The sequence below is a fragment of the Homo sapiens genome, chromosome 15, assembly GCF_000001405.40.
Source record: "Homo sapiens chromosome 15, GRCh38.p14 Primary Assembly".
Taxonomy (NCBI): Eukaryota; Metazoa; Chordata; class Mammalia; order Primates; family Hominidae; genus Homo; species Homo sapiens.
This window is the reverse complement of record NC_000015.10, coordinates 65,918,142-65,937,104: the sequence shown is the minus strand read 5'-3', so window position 1 is coordinate 65,937,104 and position 18,963 is coordinate 65,918,142. Positions and strand designations below refer to the sequence as shown.

Below are 18,963 nucleotides of genomic sequence, written 5' to 3'. Positions count from 1 at the left end.
TGGCTCATAGTGGATTTGATCATCTCTAATGTCTGTTCAGCTCAGAAGGTCTTGTCTCCCAGAGTGGATACTCTAGAGGCCAACTGGGTAATTTTTGCCTGTGCTTCTCACTCTCTGGTAGGCAGAGTTGGGCAGGGGGTGATGGGGTGAGGCATGGAAGCATAGACCAGGATCTCCTGGCTTTCCTTTCTCACAAGAGCCCCATGGAGGCTCAGAGTCAAGTGTGTTAGCATGGGGCCCATCCTTAGACTAGACAATATTCTGTTGCCTGTGTGTGATGAGAACCACAGAACCCAGCCTACCAGGGCCCCTCACTCACACATTATTTACAAAATTCCCATACTCTGTGCCAGGTACTGGGGAACCCAGACAGGTAAGGCCCCTCTTCTCATGAAGCTTCTAGTCTCTCTGGGAGAGGCAGAGAGTAAATAAGTGGACAAAGAAACATACCTGGATGTAGGCATGAGTATACCTGTGTGGGTACTGCCTGGGAGTTGCCCAAGGCCAGAGACTGGGTCCCAGTCTCTTCTGTGCCCTTGGAGCCTGCAACATGGCTAGCTCAGAGTTGGCCCTTACTCAGCAAACATTTGCTGAATTGCCTGGCATACAAGAGAAAGCATATGGAAAGTGCCAAGTCCTTCTGCTCCTGTCCACAGTAGAAGCCAGCATGTACACACAAACATCTCATTTCAATTAAACATTTATCAAGGATCCATTATGTACCAGCAGGGGCCCAAGCTCTGAGAATCTAGACATGAATGCAATCAGATCCATCCCCACGGAGCTCACAGGCCTAAGGTGGAGGAAGGCACTGAGCCAACCACAACCATCCAGTGCTAGGATGAAGGTTGCTATGTATGCACCCAATTCCCACCAGGGCAGGGCTGGTGGGCTGGAGAGGAGTGTCAGGGAAGACACCCAGGAGAAAATGTACACAGACATACCCAAGGCAAACACCCACAGAAACACACAGATGTATACACTGACTGCCTGAGCACGTGTGGACATCAATGCCAACCCATGTAGACTTGGGTCCCACACAGACCATCATGATTAAGGCTTGTTTGTTAGTGGTCCCCCAAATCAAAAAGGTATCACTACACCTTGGGCCAGGGGATATGCCGGGGTGGGCAGAGCTGATAGTCTAATCTGAGATAGGCTCGTGATTGGCTTGCTATGAACATCAATCACCGGAGACTGGCCAGTCAATTATACACCAGGCCTCACCCTCAGATCAGAGGCTAGAAGTTAGGGAATTTGACAAAAAACTTTAACAGTTAGTGTAATACTTGTGCTTGTTGAGGTGTTAGAACCTGGTATGCATTGGTACTGAGGCCAGGGGGCCGGGACAGTGAGGTGGAAGAGCAGAGTGCTCAAAGTTAGCTGTGCCAAGGTTACACTCCTTCAGGGCAGAGCTGTGCACTTTAGAAACTCTCTGATTCCCCATTTGGACTTTTTGCTATTAGGAGCTGACTGGAAAAAAAACACAAAGAGTTTCTTCTCTTCTCCCACTCAACAACAATCAACACAGAAGACTTCTGTGATCAGATGTGTGGGGATTTCTCCCCAGCAGCAAGCAATCAATCAATTCTGCAGCAGACATCAGCTGGGTGCCCTCCAATTCAATTCTGACACTATCTATCTGGAGATAGCGTCAGATCCCACAGGTGGAGGGCTCAGGCCCCAAGACTGCTCACCCTCCTGCCTTCAGATGCCAGTCAAAAGCTCCAGGCTGTTTTGCCTTTTTTTTTTTTTTTTTTTTTTTTTTTTTTTTTTTTTTTTCTTGAGACGGAGTCTCGCTCTGTCACCCAGGCTGGAGTGCAGTGGTGTGACCTCGGCTCACTGCAATCTCCACCTCCCGGGTTCAAGCGATTCCCCTGCCTCAGCCTCCCAAGTAGCTGGGACTACAGGTGTGCACCACCACGCCCAGCTAATTTTTTTGTATTTTAGTAGAGACAGGGTTTCACCATGTTGGCCAGGATGGTCTCAATCTCCTGACATCGTGATCCGCCTGCCTCAACCTCCCAAAGCGCTGGGATTACAGGCCTGAGCCATCACGCCCAGCCTTGGCTGTGCTTCTAATTGATGGGCTATAAATCGGGGTTCCTGCAACTCCCTCCCTGGGTTCAATTAACTTGCTAGAGAGGTTCACAGAATTCAGGGAAACACATTTACCAGTTTATTATAAAGGATATTACAAAGGATATGGATGAAAAGATGCAGAGTGCAAGACATGTGGGAAGGGGTATGGAGCTTCCATGCCCTCTCCAGGTGCACAATCTTCCCGGAACCTCCATATGTTCAGCTATCTCCAGAAGCTTTCCAAACCCTGTCCTTTGGGGTTTTTATGGAGACTTCGTTACATGGGAATCATTGATTACATTGCTGGCCTTTGGTGATCAACTTAAACTTCAGCCCCTCTTCCTTATACCTTCCCCCTTCAGCGGGTGGGGCTGTAAGTCCCAACTTTCTAATCCTGCCTTGGTCTTTCTGGTGACCAGCCCCCATCCTGAAGCAGCCATCAGTCATTAGCATACAAAACGACCTCACTTTTGGCCAGGTGCAGTGGCTCACACCTGTAATCCCAGCACTTTGGGAGGCCGAGGTGGGTGGATCACCTGAGGTCGGGAGTTCGAGACCAGCCTGACCAACATGGAGAAACCCCATCTCTACTAAAAATACAAAAATTATCTGGGTGTGGTGGCACATGCCTGTAATCCCAGCTACCAGGAGGCTGAGGCAGGAGAATCGCTTGAACCCGGGAGGTGGAGGTTGCAGTGAGCCAAGATCGTGCCACTGCACTCCAGCCTGGGCAACAAGAGCGAAACTCCGACTCAAAAACAAACAAACAAACAAACAAACAAAAACTCACTTTGGAGATTCTAAGGATTCCAGGAGTTGCTTGGCAGGAAACTGGATGAAGACCTTATATTTCACAATATCAGAGGAACTGACAAATGCAAAGTGTTTGGAACAGTGGCCCTCAGGGAGTGGTCATTCCGTCCTCCAAGACCATACCTGTAGTGTGTGGTGATAAAAGTTCCAGCCTGTGTCAGCTGTGAGGGGGAACAGGGAGCCAGCCCAGAGAAGGTGATAAAAAGGTAAACAAGGTATTCTTTCCCTAAGAGATGCTATATCTTTGCACTAATAGCTTGTATAGTGCTTTCTACCCATCAGGCACTATTCTAACTGCTACACAAACAATAACTAATTTAATCCTCTTAATCCTATGAGAAGAGGACATTTTAATTCCCATTTAACAGATGTGGGAACTGAGGCTCAGGGGATGTCGTAAATTGCCTATGGTCACATGGTGAATAAGCTGTGGAAGCAGGATGGTACCAGAGTCCACCCTCTGATCCCTCACCCCTGCTGCCTTTCAGGATGGAAGATCTGGTTCTTTCTCCTTAACCTTGGCACTAACACACCAGGGGTCCTGGATAAGCCACTGCCCCTCTCTGAGTCTCCCTTTTCTTCTCTGGGAAGCAGAAAGCCATCTCAGCCCAGTGGCCTCCCAGGACTGTCGCAAAGACCAGGCATAGGCTTCTCTGGGAGGAAACTGACACGGCATTGTGGGGAGCAGATGTGTCGAGCTTGGCTTCTTGCATCCTGTCCCATGGATCACGGCCAGGGCAGGAGGCCTCTCTGAGCCCCATCAACAGACCTGCAACAGGGCTCACAGGCAACCTGAGGCCTTGCAGGGAGATCAGGGTTTGGGACACTAATGAGGACACTGGGAGAGAAACCCCTTCTGATAGCAGATTCATGAAGAGAAAGGCATACGCTGTGCCTGCAGTCTGCACCCAGTCCAAGGCCCTCAGAGGTCAGATTCTTATGTGCTATTTATCATCTTGGAGAAATTGGAGTTTTCTGGGTAATGGGAAAGCTGACAGACTCCAACTGGTCAGGCCTGCTGGGGACTGGTGGGGGAAAGAGCAGGAACCGTGGGGCCTTCGGGGAAGGACTCCACACTCCCTGCCCCCAAGGGCGAGACAGAAGCAGAAAAGGGCTGGAGAGAAGCCTCTCCGTGGCAAAGACCCACACCCTCGGTTCTCTCTGTGGCCCACATAGGAGTGAAGCCAGATGCCTGGACCCTTAGAGTTGAGAAGGGAGCTCCTTTATGCCAAGCCTGTCATTTCAGAGATGCGGGAACTGAGACTCAGAGACGGGCAGTACATATCTGGTGTCACACAGCTAGTGGGGCCCAGACAAGCTCTGGTCTCCCAGCCCAGACAAATTTATTATCAGGATTCCCACGGAAAGCTTAGGTGTAAGGCCTGAGACGCTGGCTGGAGACACTCCCTAGGGGCTGGAGGTGGGAATTCAACATCCAGTGACCACTTGCTCCGGCATAGACAGCCCCACAGTAGGTTCCTAAGTGGGGAAGCATGTCCTGGGGGACTCAGGGAAGAAAGCCTGAACTCCCTCCCCTGGCATTCTAGACTCCCAGCCCCACTTTTACCTATCTCCTTCACTCCTCCCTTCAGCCACCCCTAGCACATTCCCAGCTCATACTCCTCTGCACTCTTGTCCACAACCCTCTTCCTACCTGGATCCCCTTTACCCCACTCTTCTCTGATTAAATGCTCCCACCCCTCAAGGCCTCTGAAGCCTCCATTCCTGGTCTCCTACCCTGTAACTTGCCCCTCGTCCAAATTGTTTAGTGGAGCTAACAGCATACCCACTTACCGGTAGAGTGGACGCCCAGATTCACCCCTCAGGACAGAAGCACTCATTCTTCCCCAGCTGCCAGAAATTTAGTGGCTCGCAGGTGAGGCCCTCTATAGACATCGCCCTCCAAGTTAGCCAACTCACCTGAGGAGTCATGGCCCCTTCCCCCATCCCAGTGGATGGCCAGTGATTGATGGAGGCATAAAGGATCTCCCTCCCTTTACCCCCATGTGGGACAACTCCAGGGGTCATCTCAGCTTCAGAGCTTCCTGCCAGATCAGCAGAAGTTACTGTAACTGTGCCTTGGTTCAACTTTTCCTCAGCCTCGACCGCCTCCCTTATCCCTTATCGGGATTATTCTCATCGGGATTATTCTCAAGAGCTCACTAATCTCTATCTCAGAATGTTTTCCAGGGTAGCCAGTTTAGGATCCCCGGTAATGTAATGGTTAAGCAGCCAGCCTGGGTTCCAGCAAGGAGCAACTGGGTTTAGTTCTGTGACCTTGGCAGAGTTAAGTAACTTCTCCATGCAGTTATCTGTTAGGTGAGAATAATGCTGAGGCAGTAGCTTCTATCTCCTATGAGTGCTGTGACAATTAAATGAGATAGTGTGTATGGCACATGATATTGAGAAAGGACTCAATATGCATTAGCTATCATTTACATTTAACTTCTCTGAGGCTCAGGCAAATGCGGATAGGATATTACTACTCGTGTCATGGGGTTATGGGTGAGAAATAAGATTGGGAGACAATGGGTTAGACTTGGTGCTTCTTCGACCTAATACAGACTTTGGAGTCAAGGTCCCTGGTATTGTGGTCTGGAGGCCTGACCCCTCCAATAACTGAGAAGGATTATATTAGTTTTCCATTGCTGCTGTAAAAAATCACAATTTAGTGGCTTCAAACAGCACAAATTTATTATCTGACAGTCCTGAAGGTCAGAAGTCTGGCATGGGTTTCACGAGGCTGAAGCCAAGGTGCCAGCAGGCCATGTTCCTTCCTGGAAGCTTTAGGAGAGGGTCTATTTCCTGCTCGCTCACAGTGTGGACAGAATTCAGTTCCTCTGATTGCAGGACTGAGGCCCTCATTTTCTTGGTAGCTGTAAAAGAGCTGTTGATCCCAGATTCTAGAGGCCACTGCATTCCTCAGCTCGTGGCCCCTTCCTCCATCTTCAAAGTCAGCACAAGCGGGTGGAGGGCTCCTCATGGTGTATCTCTCTGACCTACCTTCTTTGGTCATCTTTTACTCTTAAGGACTCATGATTATATTGAGCCCACCTGGATAACCCCTGAACGCCTGACATTCTCTCCATCTCCAGGTCCGTAATCGCACCTGCAAAGTCCCTTTTTGCCATGTAAGGTAACATATTCACAGATCCCAGGGATTAGGACATGGACATGTTGGGGGCAGCAGGGGTCATTATCCTGCCTACCACAGCCATCCAACATGGAGCAACCTTTGATCCAAAATTCACCCCCTCCCTTTCCAGGGAGAGGTCTGTGCCGTTTCCTGTGCAGCAGGGACCTATGGCCCCAACTGCTCGTCCATCTGTAGCTGTAACAATGGTGGCACCTGCTCCCCAGTAGATGGCTCCTGTACCTGCAAGGAAGGTAATGTGCCCTCTCTCCCAAGCCCATCCCTGACATATGAGCACATTCCCCAGGTGGTGCTGCCAGCTGAGGGGTCTCAGGTGGGGCTGCCCCAACCCCCGCCCCCACATGCAAGGTCAGGGAGCCTATATTGGTTGGGTTCCAGGCAAGAAAACCCATGCCAGGAATTTCAATAGCAGGAATGTAATGAGGGGATTCATTGCAATGTTGTTTGAAGAGCTAAACAGCACACAGGGAAAGTGTGCAACCGAGACACGTTAACACCTGTGGGAGAAGCTGCTATCACTCTTAGGGTTGGAGGGACAAAAGAAAGCGTTCCCAGAGCCTGGGAGTGAGGGCCACCTGGTAAGAGGTGGGACGTGGAGAGAGGGGCTGCGCCACCACCTGAGGCCCCAGGCAGAGAAAGAGGGAGAGGACACACCTGTCTCTCCTGCTCCCGCTCTCCAGTCTGTGGGCCGGTCTCCTGCAGGCAGCCTGGCTGGGAGCCAGCTGAGGGGGAGCCTGGGATGTGCAGCCTGCAGGGGTCAGCCCCCACCATGAACAGGGAAGGGGAGAAATGGTGTGGTAGGCAAAGAGGCCAGTGACCAGCCTAAGAATGGAGAATCAGACGTCCCTCAAACAGAGGGTCCTGAGATAAGCTGCCAGACTCCACCCTGGGCAGAAACAGCACTCCCCACCTGAGCTGGTGCCTGTTCCAGGTAGGATCATCTGCCTGCAGCACAAACAATGAGCACCCGGAGGCAGGAGACCTGGGTTCTAGCCCCAGCTCTCCTAACAGCTCTGTTGTATTTCTGAACTCTGTGTGGAATGTGTGTTCTAACCCAGCCCTCAGGAAAGCAGTGGTTTGGGTGGAATGCTGTGTGCAGAGCTGGGGGGAGTGGGCAAAAAAGACACACTGGGCCTGGATGGAGAAGTGACAGTCCCTTTCCCTCCCCTCAGGGTGGCAGGGCCTGGACTGCACCCTGCCATGTCCCAGTGGGACGTGGGGCCTGAACTGCAACGAGAGCTGCACCTGTGCCAATGGGGCAGCCTGCAGCCCCATAGACGGCTCCTGCTCCTGCACTCCTGGCTGGCTGGGAGACACCTGTGAGCTGCCTTGCCCGGTGAGTGCCAGGGTGGGGAGGGACAGGTTGGGCTCCGCATCCCCTCACGCCCTTTCCCTGGTGTTAGTTCGTCCACAAGAGTGCACAGAGAACAGCACTAAGCTAGGTGATGGGACACTTGGATTTAGGTCACAGTCCTAGTCCTAACCTCTCTGTGGCTATTTTACTACTTTGGCCCTCATCCCCCTCGTCTATAAAATGGCAAATACTTGGCAGATGTGGTGACATGGCATCACTTTTCCCGTGCTGCTCTTGGTAAACATTATTGACTCTGGCACTTGAGCTCAAATGCAGCTTCAGATTCCTTCACAACCCAGTGCTACAAGACAGCCCTTACTAATCCATGAGAGTTGCCATTCGTTGGTAGATAATGTTTAAGCTTCCTTCTGGTTCCAACAGTCTGTACTTTTATGATCAGAGTGTGTGGTGACTAAAGCAAGCACTGTTCAATAATAACCACCCAGACTTAATCACTTCATCTTATAGGTCTGAGATACAAATAAGTTAAACCCACTGATATGATATTGCTGGATGAGCAATGCAGTCCTTAATGAGCAATTTGGAGTCCTGCAATCCTGGGTTCAAATCTTGGCTTTGTCACATCCTTTGTTACCTTGAGCATGTTACTTCACCTCTCTAACCTTGTTTCTCATCTTTAAAGTGGGAATACAATGGAATCATATCATGGAATTGCTGTGAGGATTAAGAAAAATTAAGTATATGAGGCTCTTGATACCTAATGAGCATATAAGAATTGGTGACTACCTTCTTCCCCGGCAACAAAGAATAAATCATAGTCATTCCTCACAGATGATCAATGTGTTACAATCTGCAAAGTGCACTTTCATTTACAGTTTTAGTTAATGATCATTACAGGCCTTTGAGCTTGACCACTGAGAAGTAGAGCAGGAGTATCACCTCCTTCTCAACCTCATACTCCTGTTAATGCAGCCAAATAATTCTTCAGAGTGTCTTCATGGCTGTGTTATCCCCACTTACAAAACGTGTCCCCATTGTGCCCCAGCCCCAGTCTCCCTGCATCTCTGTGGGGTTCTGGCTCAGTTTTGTCATCAAGATCCAGTAGATCTCACTGGACCCTCCAAAAGTAAAAATTAAAGAAAAGATCCATAGAAGTACACAAACCTCTGGAGGTTTGGGTCTGATCATTTTTCTCTCCCTGTCTTCTCCACAGGATGGCACATTTGGGCTGAACTGCAGTGAACACTGTGACTGCAGCCATGCTGATGGATGTGACCCCGTCACAGGCCACTGCTGCTGCCTGGCCGGATGGACAGGTAACCTTCCCTTGCTGTGCCACCACCCAGGTACTGTGAAACTGGGTTCTTGGTATCCTACTTCTCTTGACCGTTTTCTTCTTCAATACCTCTCTTCTTGATCCCTGAGTATGCATCTTTCCCTTTATCTGCTCTGGGTTCCAGTTCTCCATTCCATTTAATTCAAGTAAATATTTATTGAACATCTATTAGGTATAAGCTCTGTCCAAGGCACTGGAGTCACTCCAGTAGGTCAAAAGCTGACATATGGTTGGTGTAAGTGCTCAATCTAGAGAATATGATGGAGAAGGGGACAAGGGCCTTTCTCCTTAGTCCAGTCTCAGAATCCTGGTCCTTATATCTATCCTGTCAGCCTGCCTCCTAAATACAAGGTGAATCCATCTACTTCTCTCCATCCCACTGCCACCACACGGTCTGCTGGGTACCATCCCGCATCTGGCACTGCCTTGGCCTCCGCTCTTGCCCAGCTGCATTCATTCTGCACCTGGTGGCCAGAGTCAACTTTTCAAACCCAGATCTGCCATTTCAGTCCCTGTTCAGAATGCCTCAGTGGCTTCCCACGACTCTTACATAAAATTTTAAATCCTTACCATGGCCCAGGGCCCACGGGATCTGGCTCTGCCTGACTCCACCTCACTCTGTTCACTTTGTGGCTCACTACATTCCAGCCACCAGGGCTGCAGTCTACTTCTTCAGGAAGCCAACCACCTTCCTGACTCCAGGCCTTTGCACATGCCATTCCCTCTGCCTGGATCATTCCTTCCCCTTTTCACCTGATAACTCCTTGTCTACCAGATTTCAATGTAAAGCTTTCTTCCTCTGGGAAGGCACTTCCCCTGCTACAATACCCACCCCAACCTGACCAAGACAAAAGCACTCCCTTTATTAATTCTTCTACCCTACACTTTTCCTATTGTGGTACTTAAATCAGAGTTCAATGACAACTGTGGTAACTGTTTATTATCTGCCTCCCTAATGTGGCCATCAGCTATATGGAGGCATCTGCCTTATTCACCATTGTATCCACTGCCTGCCACACACTGAGATATGGATAACACGGTAGTTAAGAACCCAGCTCTGGAGCAAGACTGCTGGGGTTTATGACCTTGGGCAAGTCATTTAACCTCTCAGGGCCTGAACTCTCCATCCATAAAATACAGATAATTATCCTTGCAACTACAGGGTTGTTTTGAAGCTTAAATGAGTTACTACCTATAAAGTGCTAACAGTGCCTGGCACATAGTAAGTGCTCAGTAAAAGCAGGCCATGAATACAGGAAGTGCTTAATAAGCATTTCAGAAGTGAACCTACTAGCCAGTCCCAAGGTGATGAGCAGCAAAGAGAAAGAAATATAGTCATTTCTGGCAGTATAGGTTCTCAGATAAATAATTAACACCAGGTTGCTGCACAGCCTGTGTTCATAACCAGAAAGTTTCTAAGCAGCCAAGAGCCAGGGACATTGCTTCCTCTGCAGTATCTCCAGCCTGGCTTCCCCTGCCCTGCTGGCTCCTGCCCGTCAGTAAAGAATAAGGCTCAACCCTGGTCACTGGCACCCTAGAATCTCAGCAGGAGCCAAGTGGAAATCAACTTTAATTTTTCATTGCCTTAATTTTGAGTGAGCCAATTAAGATTTTAATGACATCTAGTGCTTAAAAATTCTGTCTTTGGTGAACCACCTTTCAGCAAGGCCTCTGCTGTTCTAAACCTAATTTCCCCAAATGTGGTCCTGAAGTCTTTTCAAAGAAGTGATTGATGTCCTGAGGTTTGTCATGCAGAAGGGGGCCAATGAGAGACAGAGATGGGCCTCCCACTGAGCCCTCCCCACTCACCTCTGCCTCAAGAAAAATCTGTGCCTAACTTCCCAGTCCCTGGCACACCGCTCATTCCTTGGCTTGGCACAGGTTTGGGGCTGCCCTGAGCTGTGCATGTGTCTCCCCTTAACCCTCATAAGCCATAGGCTTACTGACAGTTGGCATTTTGTCTTATTCATCTTGCCCTGCACATAATATGTGCTTATTAAATGTTTACTGAAATAAACTGGAAGTTGGCCTATAACCATTCATAATTTTTCCCCTTAAAGTGGGGGAGGCTTTAAAGATTATCTCCACCAACCTTCTCATGCCACAGATAAGGAAAAGGAGTTGTCTGGGGTCTCAGGACATTAGGGCCAATAGGATGAAAGACTCAGGATTGTATCTTAAGGGGGAACCATTTATTCAATCAACTAGCATTTATTGACTCAAGCAATTACCAAGCCTTTATATTGGCAGCTACCTTGTGCCCAGCACCATGCCAGACTCAGCAGTAAATGGTAAAAAGCAACAGTTTCTGAGTACCTACTGTGTGCCAAACACTGTTGGGCACCAAAGATGCAAAAATGACCAAGATGGCATCCTGTCCATAAGGAGCACCTAGGTAAGCAAAGTCAGAAGTGGCAGTAAGCCATGGTACCTGTCTTCAAATTGCTGGCAGGGGAGACAGGTCTTGTGTATGAAGCTTTCAAGTAACAGGTAGAGACAAAGCTGTATGCTGCTGATTATCAAAGAGATGCTTGTCTCCCTGGGCAGACATCCAAGAAGGCTTCCTGGAGAAGGAGGGCCCTAAACGGACCCTGAAGGATATGGGCTGCTGAGTGGCTACTGGCTTCACTGCATGAACTAGAGATCAACATGTATGGATTCCTAGCCTAGGTTTACCCACCAATTTAGATGTGGGGGTGGGGAGGAGTCCTGAAAAATAAAGCAAGGGGGTTCCCTAGAGTAAGAAAGGAAAGGACCTCTGAGGGGGACTATCCCTATCCAACTGTAGCGAAAACTGGGGCCCAGGAAGGTAACTGAAGCTGCTTCTTCAGAAACTACAGCTGGGAGCCTCCCACAAAGGCCAAGGCCAGCCCCTTTGATCATATCAGTAAGTTGCTTCTGGAACTGGGCACTCCATATGGGGAAATCCTTGACCCTTCTTTCCACTTAGATCCCATGTCTTAAGCTCCAAGAAGGTCTTGGGACATATAAGAACCACAAACAGCCCCACTCCCACAGAAACAGGCCCAGAATATAATAACTGCCAAGTCCTAGAACCCAGTGGGACTTTGCAGCCACCTTCAGTCTGAGAATAAACATGGTACACTCATGGTTCTCAATCTCCATAAATGAGGACCCCTTTTGACATGAAAACACTAAGGATTCCACAATGAGAGTAGCTATACTTTTAATAGCCACTGGCTGGGATAAACACAATAGCAACCAGCTGCCACGAATTCAGTGGTGCTTTCACATACACTGTGTTTTATGAACACAGTAATACCTATAGTTTTAGGAGAGAGCACTGTCTACGTGTGACACATGTGCCTTGGTCAGCTGGCAAAGAGTGCCTGGTGTGCAGTGGAATTGGAGGCCCTGTGGACAGCAAAGCTCCACCTCAGTGCAAGGAACAGCTTTGTCCCTAGGCCTGTGGTCTGAATCCTGGGTTTCCAACAACCATAGGCAAAAGAAATCCTAGGCCAGCACAGTGGCTCACGACTGTAATCCCAGCACTTTGGGAGGCTGAGGCGGGCGGATCACTTGAGACCAGGAGTTTAAGACCAGCCTGGCCAACATGGAGGAACCCCGTCTCTACTAAAAATACAAAAGTTAGCCAGCTGTGGTGGTGGCTTATACCTGTAATCCCAGCTACTCGGAAGGCTGAAGCAGAATTGCTTGAACCCCGGATGCAGAGGTTGCCATGAGCCAAGATCACACCACTGCACTCCCACCTGGGTGATAGAGTGAGACCCTGTCTCCAAAAAAAAAAAAAAAAAAAAAGCCTTATGGCAGATCACAGCTTTTGTTATGCCCAGGAAAAGGAGAAACTTGAAGATGGATCCAAAACCTTGAACAGTTTTATGGTTTCCACTTTCCCAAGCTCCCTCTAGTCAATCTATGATGCCTGTCCAGGGTTCACCTCTTGGGCACCTGAACCACCACTGGGAGAGACCCCTGTCAATGGGTAAAATATGGCAAATATGGCTGCCAGATCCCATTCCCTGGGGAGGAAACCACTTGCCCCCCCCCCCACCCACACCCCACCTACCCACCCGCAACCATTTCCCAGAGAGTGGCATCTGAAGCCTCTACCCTGCTGCAAAACTGAGACATTACAGGGAGGGAGCACAGATGCTGGGCTAGACTGAGGAACAGGAGGATGAGTAAAGCCTGTTGCATCTCCCTCCCTCTCCCCTCTCCGGTGGTTCCACCCTCCCTCCCCTCTCCTCGCCAGCCCAGGTGGGCTTGTACAATTCCAGTCTGCCTCTAAATTGGTCCCACTGCTCTCCTGCTGCTGGTAGGGCTGGCTCTGTTCACTGGGCATGAGTGTCTTTCTCCTTTCTTTCTCTTTCCCACAATCACTGTCCTTATAACAAGGCAGACATGATTTTTCAGCTAATTCTGCCCCTCTCTGAGCCTCTGATATTCACCTGCTGAAGCCAAGCCAATCTCCTGGGCTCACATGTTCCATTTCCCTAATGCATGTCAGACTGGAAGCCTTTCTGCCTGGGAAGAAAACCTACCCCAGAGCTGGGGCATCCAGCCTCAGGCCTTTTAAAATTCCTTCTTCACCTTCAGGCTGTAGGGAACCTAACAAACATTTCCTCTACCTGAGCCCAAAAAGACTATTATAGACTTTGTTCCTTTTTCTTATTGAGAAATTCCATCCATTCCCCCATAAGCCTCTGTCAAACTGAGGGTCATTAAATCAAATTGTTGGGTTACAACTAGCATTTTAAAAGCTGAAATCGAATACATCATAGTACAGAGAAAACATCAGAGTCCAACATACATAGTGACAGTAAATGTAATTTTTGCAAAGTACTGGTTTCTATTGTATGTATGCATGAATGATACACATACTGCGCTGAGGAGTCTGGTCAGAAGAATCTGAAAAGATCCTACCTACTCTCTGAGCCCCTCCCTGGGTGGGTTGGCAGGGACCCAGCAGCACCAGTGGCTCCTGGGCTAACATGCGTGGGCATATGGCTCACTCCCAGCTGGCACTTACTTGCCCATAGTTGGTTCCTCCCGGTCCTGTTCTTGGATGCCATACAGAAGAGGCCCTTGTGATCTGGTCCCTTCTTACTCCCACAATCTCATCTCTTGCCGTACCCCATTTTGCACTTTGTGGTTCAGCCACACTTGCTATTTGTAATTTCTTTCAAGACATGATTCTTTCTCCTGCCTCCTGCTCTTTGTACATATAATTTCATTTGCTTGGTCAATTCCTCCTCGACTTTTAGAACTCTGGACATCACTTCTTCCTGAAAATCCTCCATGACCAGCCAAGCCTCAGCCGGGTTTCTCCTCTACATTCCTGGATGCACTATGCTTGCCTCCACCTCTTCATACTGCACTGTCCCCCTTCCCTCCATTCTTCCCTTCATCCTCACCTCTCTTACCACTGACCCGAGTCTGCCTCTGGCCCACAGGCATCCGCTGTGACAGCACGTGTCCACCTGGCCGCTGGGGCCCCAACTGCTCTGTCTCCTGCAGCTGTGAGAATGGAGGCTCCTGCTCCCCAGAGGATGGGAGCTGCGAGTGTGCCCCTGGCTTCCGAGGACCCTTATGCCAGAGAAGTAAGGCTAATCCCCTGACCCCGAAGAGCTCAGAGGGCTAATCCTCCCTAGCCCTCTCCAGTTGGAACTAGCCATGGCCTGAGAGAGGCTGGGCTCTTGAATCAGCCCCCATCTCTTCCTTCCCTCTAGTCTCTCCCTCTGCAGTTCTGTCCCCAGGTTTGGGGCCCAGCCCAGCTACTCAATGGAAACAGGGCCACACCACAGCTCTTCTCTGCAGAAAGGGATGCGCCCTCCAAGATGAGGGAAGGATGCAGGTCTCCCCATGTTTCTGAGAAGTGTGGAACAGGAAGGGTAGCTAGGCTGGCTGGGGTCTCTTGGGCTGCTGACCACCATCTTCCCTTCACCCTCAGTCTGCCCCCCTGGGTTCTATGGCCACGGCTGCGCCCAGCCATGCCCCCTCTGCGTGCACAGCAGCAGGCCCTGCCACCACATCAGCGGCATCTGTGAGTGCCTCCCAGGATTCTCTGGAGCTCTCTGCAACCAAGGTACTGTCTCCAGTGGGAAGGTACTGGGTGGGGAGGTGAGAGGTTCTGGGAGGAAAGTGGCAGGGAAGGAAGGGCTTGGGGATTTTCATCATACGCTATGGAGGTAGCTCCTTCCCTCTTCAGGACTTGGGCTGCCTTTATGAGAATTGAGCCCCACATGGCATGAGACAAAGGCCCTAACACAGTTAACAGCCTCACAGAAGTGAAATGATTTGTCTGTGATTTCGCAGCTAGCAAGTGGCAGAAACAAATTCTGATTCCGACATGCATGCTGAAGGGATGAAAAGTGAAACAAGCACAGAGATCTGCATCAGAAGTGGCACCATGTGGTCTGTGCCGAGTGCCAAGGGTAAAGGCAGAGAATGCTGTGGGAGTGCAGAGGAGCTGGCTCTGGCTGGAGATGGCAACTTCCAAGCCCTTCTCCCCGTCATATTCAGGCCACCATCCCTAATCCCTCCCCATATGCTTTCCTGACTTGACCTCAGAATCCTTCACAATACCGACTCCAAGAACTGCTACCACTCAGCAGGAGTTGAAAAGAGATATAAAGCTTATTTGCATTGGTGTTCCACCCTACCAGCTCTTTGTGGGGGAAAAACCCTGATCTGTAACATCTGCAGATTTTTAAAATATAAATATTCCTACCACGGCTGATTTTAAGGTACCAATGGTTTAACATCATTCACAAAATTCCCAAATATTGAACAACCAGTGAGAAGGTAGGAGCTGCCTCCACACATCATTGCCTATTGCCATCCCTGGCTTTCTTAGGACAAGACAGTGTGGATTTGGGTGAAGGCTCCATGGACCATGCAGGACTTCAGCTGGGCCTTAGCTTGAAAGGTGGAAAAGGAAGAAAAGCATTCTGTGTAGAGGAAGCAGCTTGGGCAAAGCACAGAGACATGGGCATGCTACAGGGAACAGCTGATGGATATGGTAGCTGGGGGTGGGAAATGGGGCTCAGAAGGTAGGCTGGGACCTTCAGAACAGGTTTGAACACAAGGTTACAGAACTTGCATTCTAACCTGAAAGGAGTGAAGGGAGCTTAGGGTAAGTTAAACTTAGGGCTAAAAGCAACTTCAAGGTCATCTATGCAAGAAATCTCATCTGGACTCTGCTTAAATACTTCTGTTGACTGAGAGCTCACTACCTCCCAGGGGAACCCATTCTTTTGATGAATAATCACTGCTGAGCTGGGCTATTTTTGCAAGTGTGTGGGCTGTTAATATGTATGAATAGAAAGTTTACTACATGATGCTTTGAGGTCATGAGAAGTTTGAGCCCCAGAGAAACATATGTGACAGTTTCATTTACTTGCAGCCCTCCTAGGATGGTTTAATCATAACCTGACATGTCGAGGTTCACTTATTAAACACAGGAGACTAGGCCATCAATACAGATAGTCTAGGTCTAAATTAGGACCCATGCAGCCCGAGGAGTAACTCTCAGATGCTGCGTTGTCTGATTTATCGCCCACTGGCCTAATGAGTATTTCCCACATATAGATCTAATGGAGTTTGCTATTAATGGCAACTGCCCTGGTTAAGTCTTAAACCTTGTAAAAAATTGAACTGACACCTTCTAATGACTGGCTTTCCAGCAAGTTACAAATTACAGACACTGCTTACGCAGAATCATTAAACACAGATTAAATATAACCAGATGTTTTCTTTTCACCAGCCCCCCTTCTGTCCACTGCCCCTCTCTTTGCCTTACTCTTGATTCAGCTAAGAAGTCGACCAATTAATGGATTAGATTGATCATATTAGCAGTTCTGTGGGTAAATTTGTTGGCCTCATGTATGTGAGAAAGACTTCAAAGATAAGACTCTTGTTAGAGAAGCTCAGAGTTCATTTTGGGGGTAGGGTAGGGGGAGCAGCTCTGGCACCCTACTCCCCACAGAGGGCCAGGACTTGGGGATGGGTTCCCCAAATCAAGCACCTCCCAGAGGTAGGAAAGAAGAGGCTGGGCAGCCTGCTTTTCAAAAAGCTGGAGCCTGAGCTGCAAACAGGTGAGATGCATGTCACCCTCTTGGCACTGGAACTTCCTGGAAGGGAGCCAAGGTTTCTGCCAGGGGAAGCATGGGGCCCCAAATCAGCCAGCCTGCCACAGCTACTAACCATGGTCCTAGGACAGTCGGTGAGGGTTCCCATTCCCACCTCAAAGATGAGGAAACAGAGAGTTTGCTCAAAGGCACTTAGCCAGCAAGCAGTACAACTTCCTAGTTGTGTGACCTTGGGCAAGTTACTTAACCTGCCTCAGTTTCTCATCTACAAAGCAGAGTTAATGATAAGGCATAATAGTGAGACTATATAATAGTATTCCAAGAGTAAGTGAACTAAATACAGGCATACCTTGTTTTATTGTGCTTCACAGAAACTGCATTTTGCTTGTTGTTTTTTGTTTTGTTTTGTTTAAATTAAAAGTTTGGCCGGGTGCAGTGGTTCACATCTGTAATCCCAGCACTTTGGGAGGCCAAGGCTTGAGGTCAGGAGTTCGAGACCAGCCTGGCCAACATGGTGAAACCCTGTTTCTACTAAAAATACAAAAATTAGCCGGACATGGTGGCGCGTGCCTATCTGGGGAGGCTAAGGCAGGAGAATCGCTTGAACCTGGGAGGAAAAGGTTGCAGTAAGCCGAGATTGCACCACTGCACTCCGGCCTGGGCAACGTAGCGAGACTCTGTCTCGAAACAAAAAAACCAAAGGTTTGTGGCAACTCTGCCTTAAGCAAGCCCTGTCGGTGCCATGTTTCCAACACCACGTGTACACTTCGTGTCTGTGTCAGCATTTTTTTTTTGCAATAAAGTGTTTTTTAATCAAGACATGTACATTGTTTTTTAGACATAAGGCTATTGCACACTTAATAGACTACAGTATAATGTAAACATAACTTTTGTATGCTCTGGGAAACCAAAACATTTGTGTGACTTGCTTTATTGCAATATTCACTTGCAGTGGTCTGGAACCAAACCCACATCTCTGAGGTATGCCTGTATTTGTGAAGCACATTGAACAGTGTCTGGTGCATTTAAGTGTCATGTGTATGTTTGTTGACTACATAAAGAAAACTTAGACCTAAATCCAAGGCTTTGGACTGGAGAGTCTGGTCCACCATTGCCTGTATTATTTGTCTCAACTACCAATCACGTCCAGGAGAGGCACTGAGTAGATTCAGATCCTAGCCACTAGCGGCCCACCGTCTGGCTGGGGAAGAACTACCAATATGAGGCAGTGTGGTATAAAGCAGAGGGTTTCAGCCCAAGATGTGAGAGACCTGGGCCCTGGGGAAGTCATGTATCTTCAAGAATCAACACCTTCCCATCATTCTCTGTGCTGCTCTCCAGGATCGACTTTATTTTGTGGCGATGGGGAATCCACTGAGGCTCTCTAAGCAGGACATAGGAGTGCCATGAAGAAAGCTGTGCTTTAGAGAGCTCAAGCTGTAGAAAGCAGGTGGGGGATGAATTGCACAGGGAAACAAAAGGTTAAATACTCAATGAATACTCAAACCTAGTCCTAAAAGAGCTTTGCAGCCTGACTGAGGAAACCAGCTCTTCCTCCAGGGACCAAGCAGTGACTCCTCCAGGAAGGTCTGTGACCAAAATCCTCCAAGTGACTCAAATTGGAAATACCAGTGGTGGAGAGGGCCTTGTGAACTCAGGAGGGCTTTCTTGAGGAAGATGTTGAGCTGAGAGGCTTGAGCAACAGGTCAGAGGAAAGAGGCAGGCAGGGACAGACATTCAGGGCTGGTCCTTTAACAGTCAAACCGCAGGCAGGCCTGCCACATGGCATTTGTCCCTCTCTGTCCAGCTGTACATATTCTCTACCCTCGTGGTTGTGGAATCCGTGATGTTGGTGAAAGTGGTAATAGAAAGCAGAAGGCTGTGGAACAGTACAGGGAGCACTGGACTGTGAGTCCAGAAGTACAGTGCTCAGCCTCCCACTTCTCATCTGTGAGACCTAAGTCAGGTGATTCTACCTCCATGGGCCTCAGGCTGTTCTTAAAGGCAATCATAATAGAGCCTTCTGAAGAATGCAGCTGTAGGCATGAGAGGGGCAACTCATTTATGTGCAAATGGAGAAGGGTGACAAGGGTACCAAGGCGGGCGTGGTCTCCATCCAGATCCATGACCCCTGGGTGATCATGGCTGTGGCTTGGGAACTTCTAGGGATGAGGCTGTGGGTGGAGGTCAG

General features: G+C 49.1%; 1 protein-coding gene across 25 annotated transcripts in view, besides 1 other annotated feature; it reads left to right on the top strand.

Moving 5' to 3' along the window:
* The window catches only part of MEGF11 (multiple EGF like domains 11), a 358,452-nt gene that overhangs the window by 316,646 nt on the left and 22,843 nt on the right, over nucleotides 1-18,963 (top strand). For 20 of the 25 annotated variants that reach the window (NR_169555.1, NR_169554.1, NR_169558.1 and 17 more), the window contains 5 exons: nucleotides 6,162-6,282; nucleotides 7,222-7,385; nucleotides 8,578-8,680; nucleotides 14,136-14,282; nucleotides 14,633-14,767. Coding sequence is in view for 20 of the 25 variants with exons in the window: in NM_001385030.1 (NP_001371959.1) it covers nucleotides 6,162-6,282; nucleotides 7,222-7,385; nucleotides 8,578-8,680; nucleotides 14,136-14,282; nucleotides 14,633-14,767 (670 nt within the window). In the remaining 5 variants the exon portion in view is untranslated. Of the gene's footprint in view, nucleotides 1-6,161; nucleotides 6,283-7,221; nucleotides 7,386-8,577; nucleotides 8,711-14,135; nucleotides 14,283-14,632; nucleotides 14,768-14,997; nucleotides 15,415-18,963 lie in introns of those variants that run through there. The other 5 variants (NM_001387151.1, XM_047433170.1, XM_017022674.3 and 2 more) reach the window with 3 other exon arrangements.
* Nucleotides 14,746-15,315: an enhancer, noted in NCBI's record as "H3K4me1 hESC enhancer chr15:66214128-66214697 (GRCh37/hg19 assembly coordinates)". NCBI's record gives its function as "activates a minimal SCP1, AML or CMV promoter by ChIP-STARR-seq in naive H9 embryonic stem cells {active_cell/tissue: H9 hESC(naive)}" and the evidence as "EXISTENCE:reporter gene assay evidence [ECO:0000049][PMID:30033119]".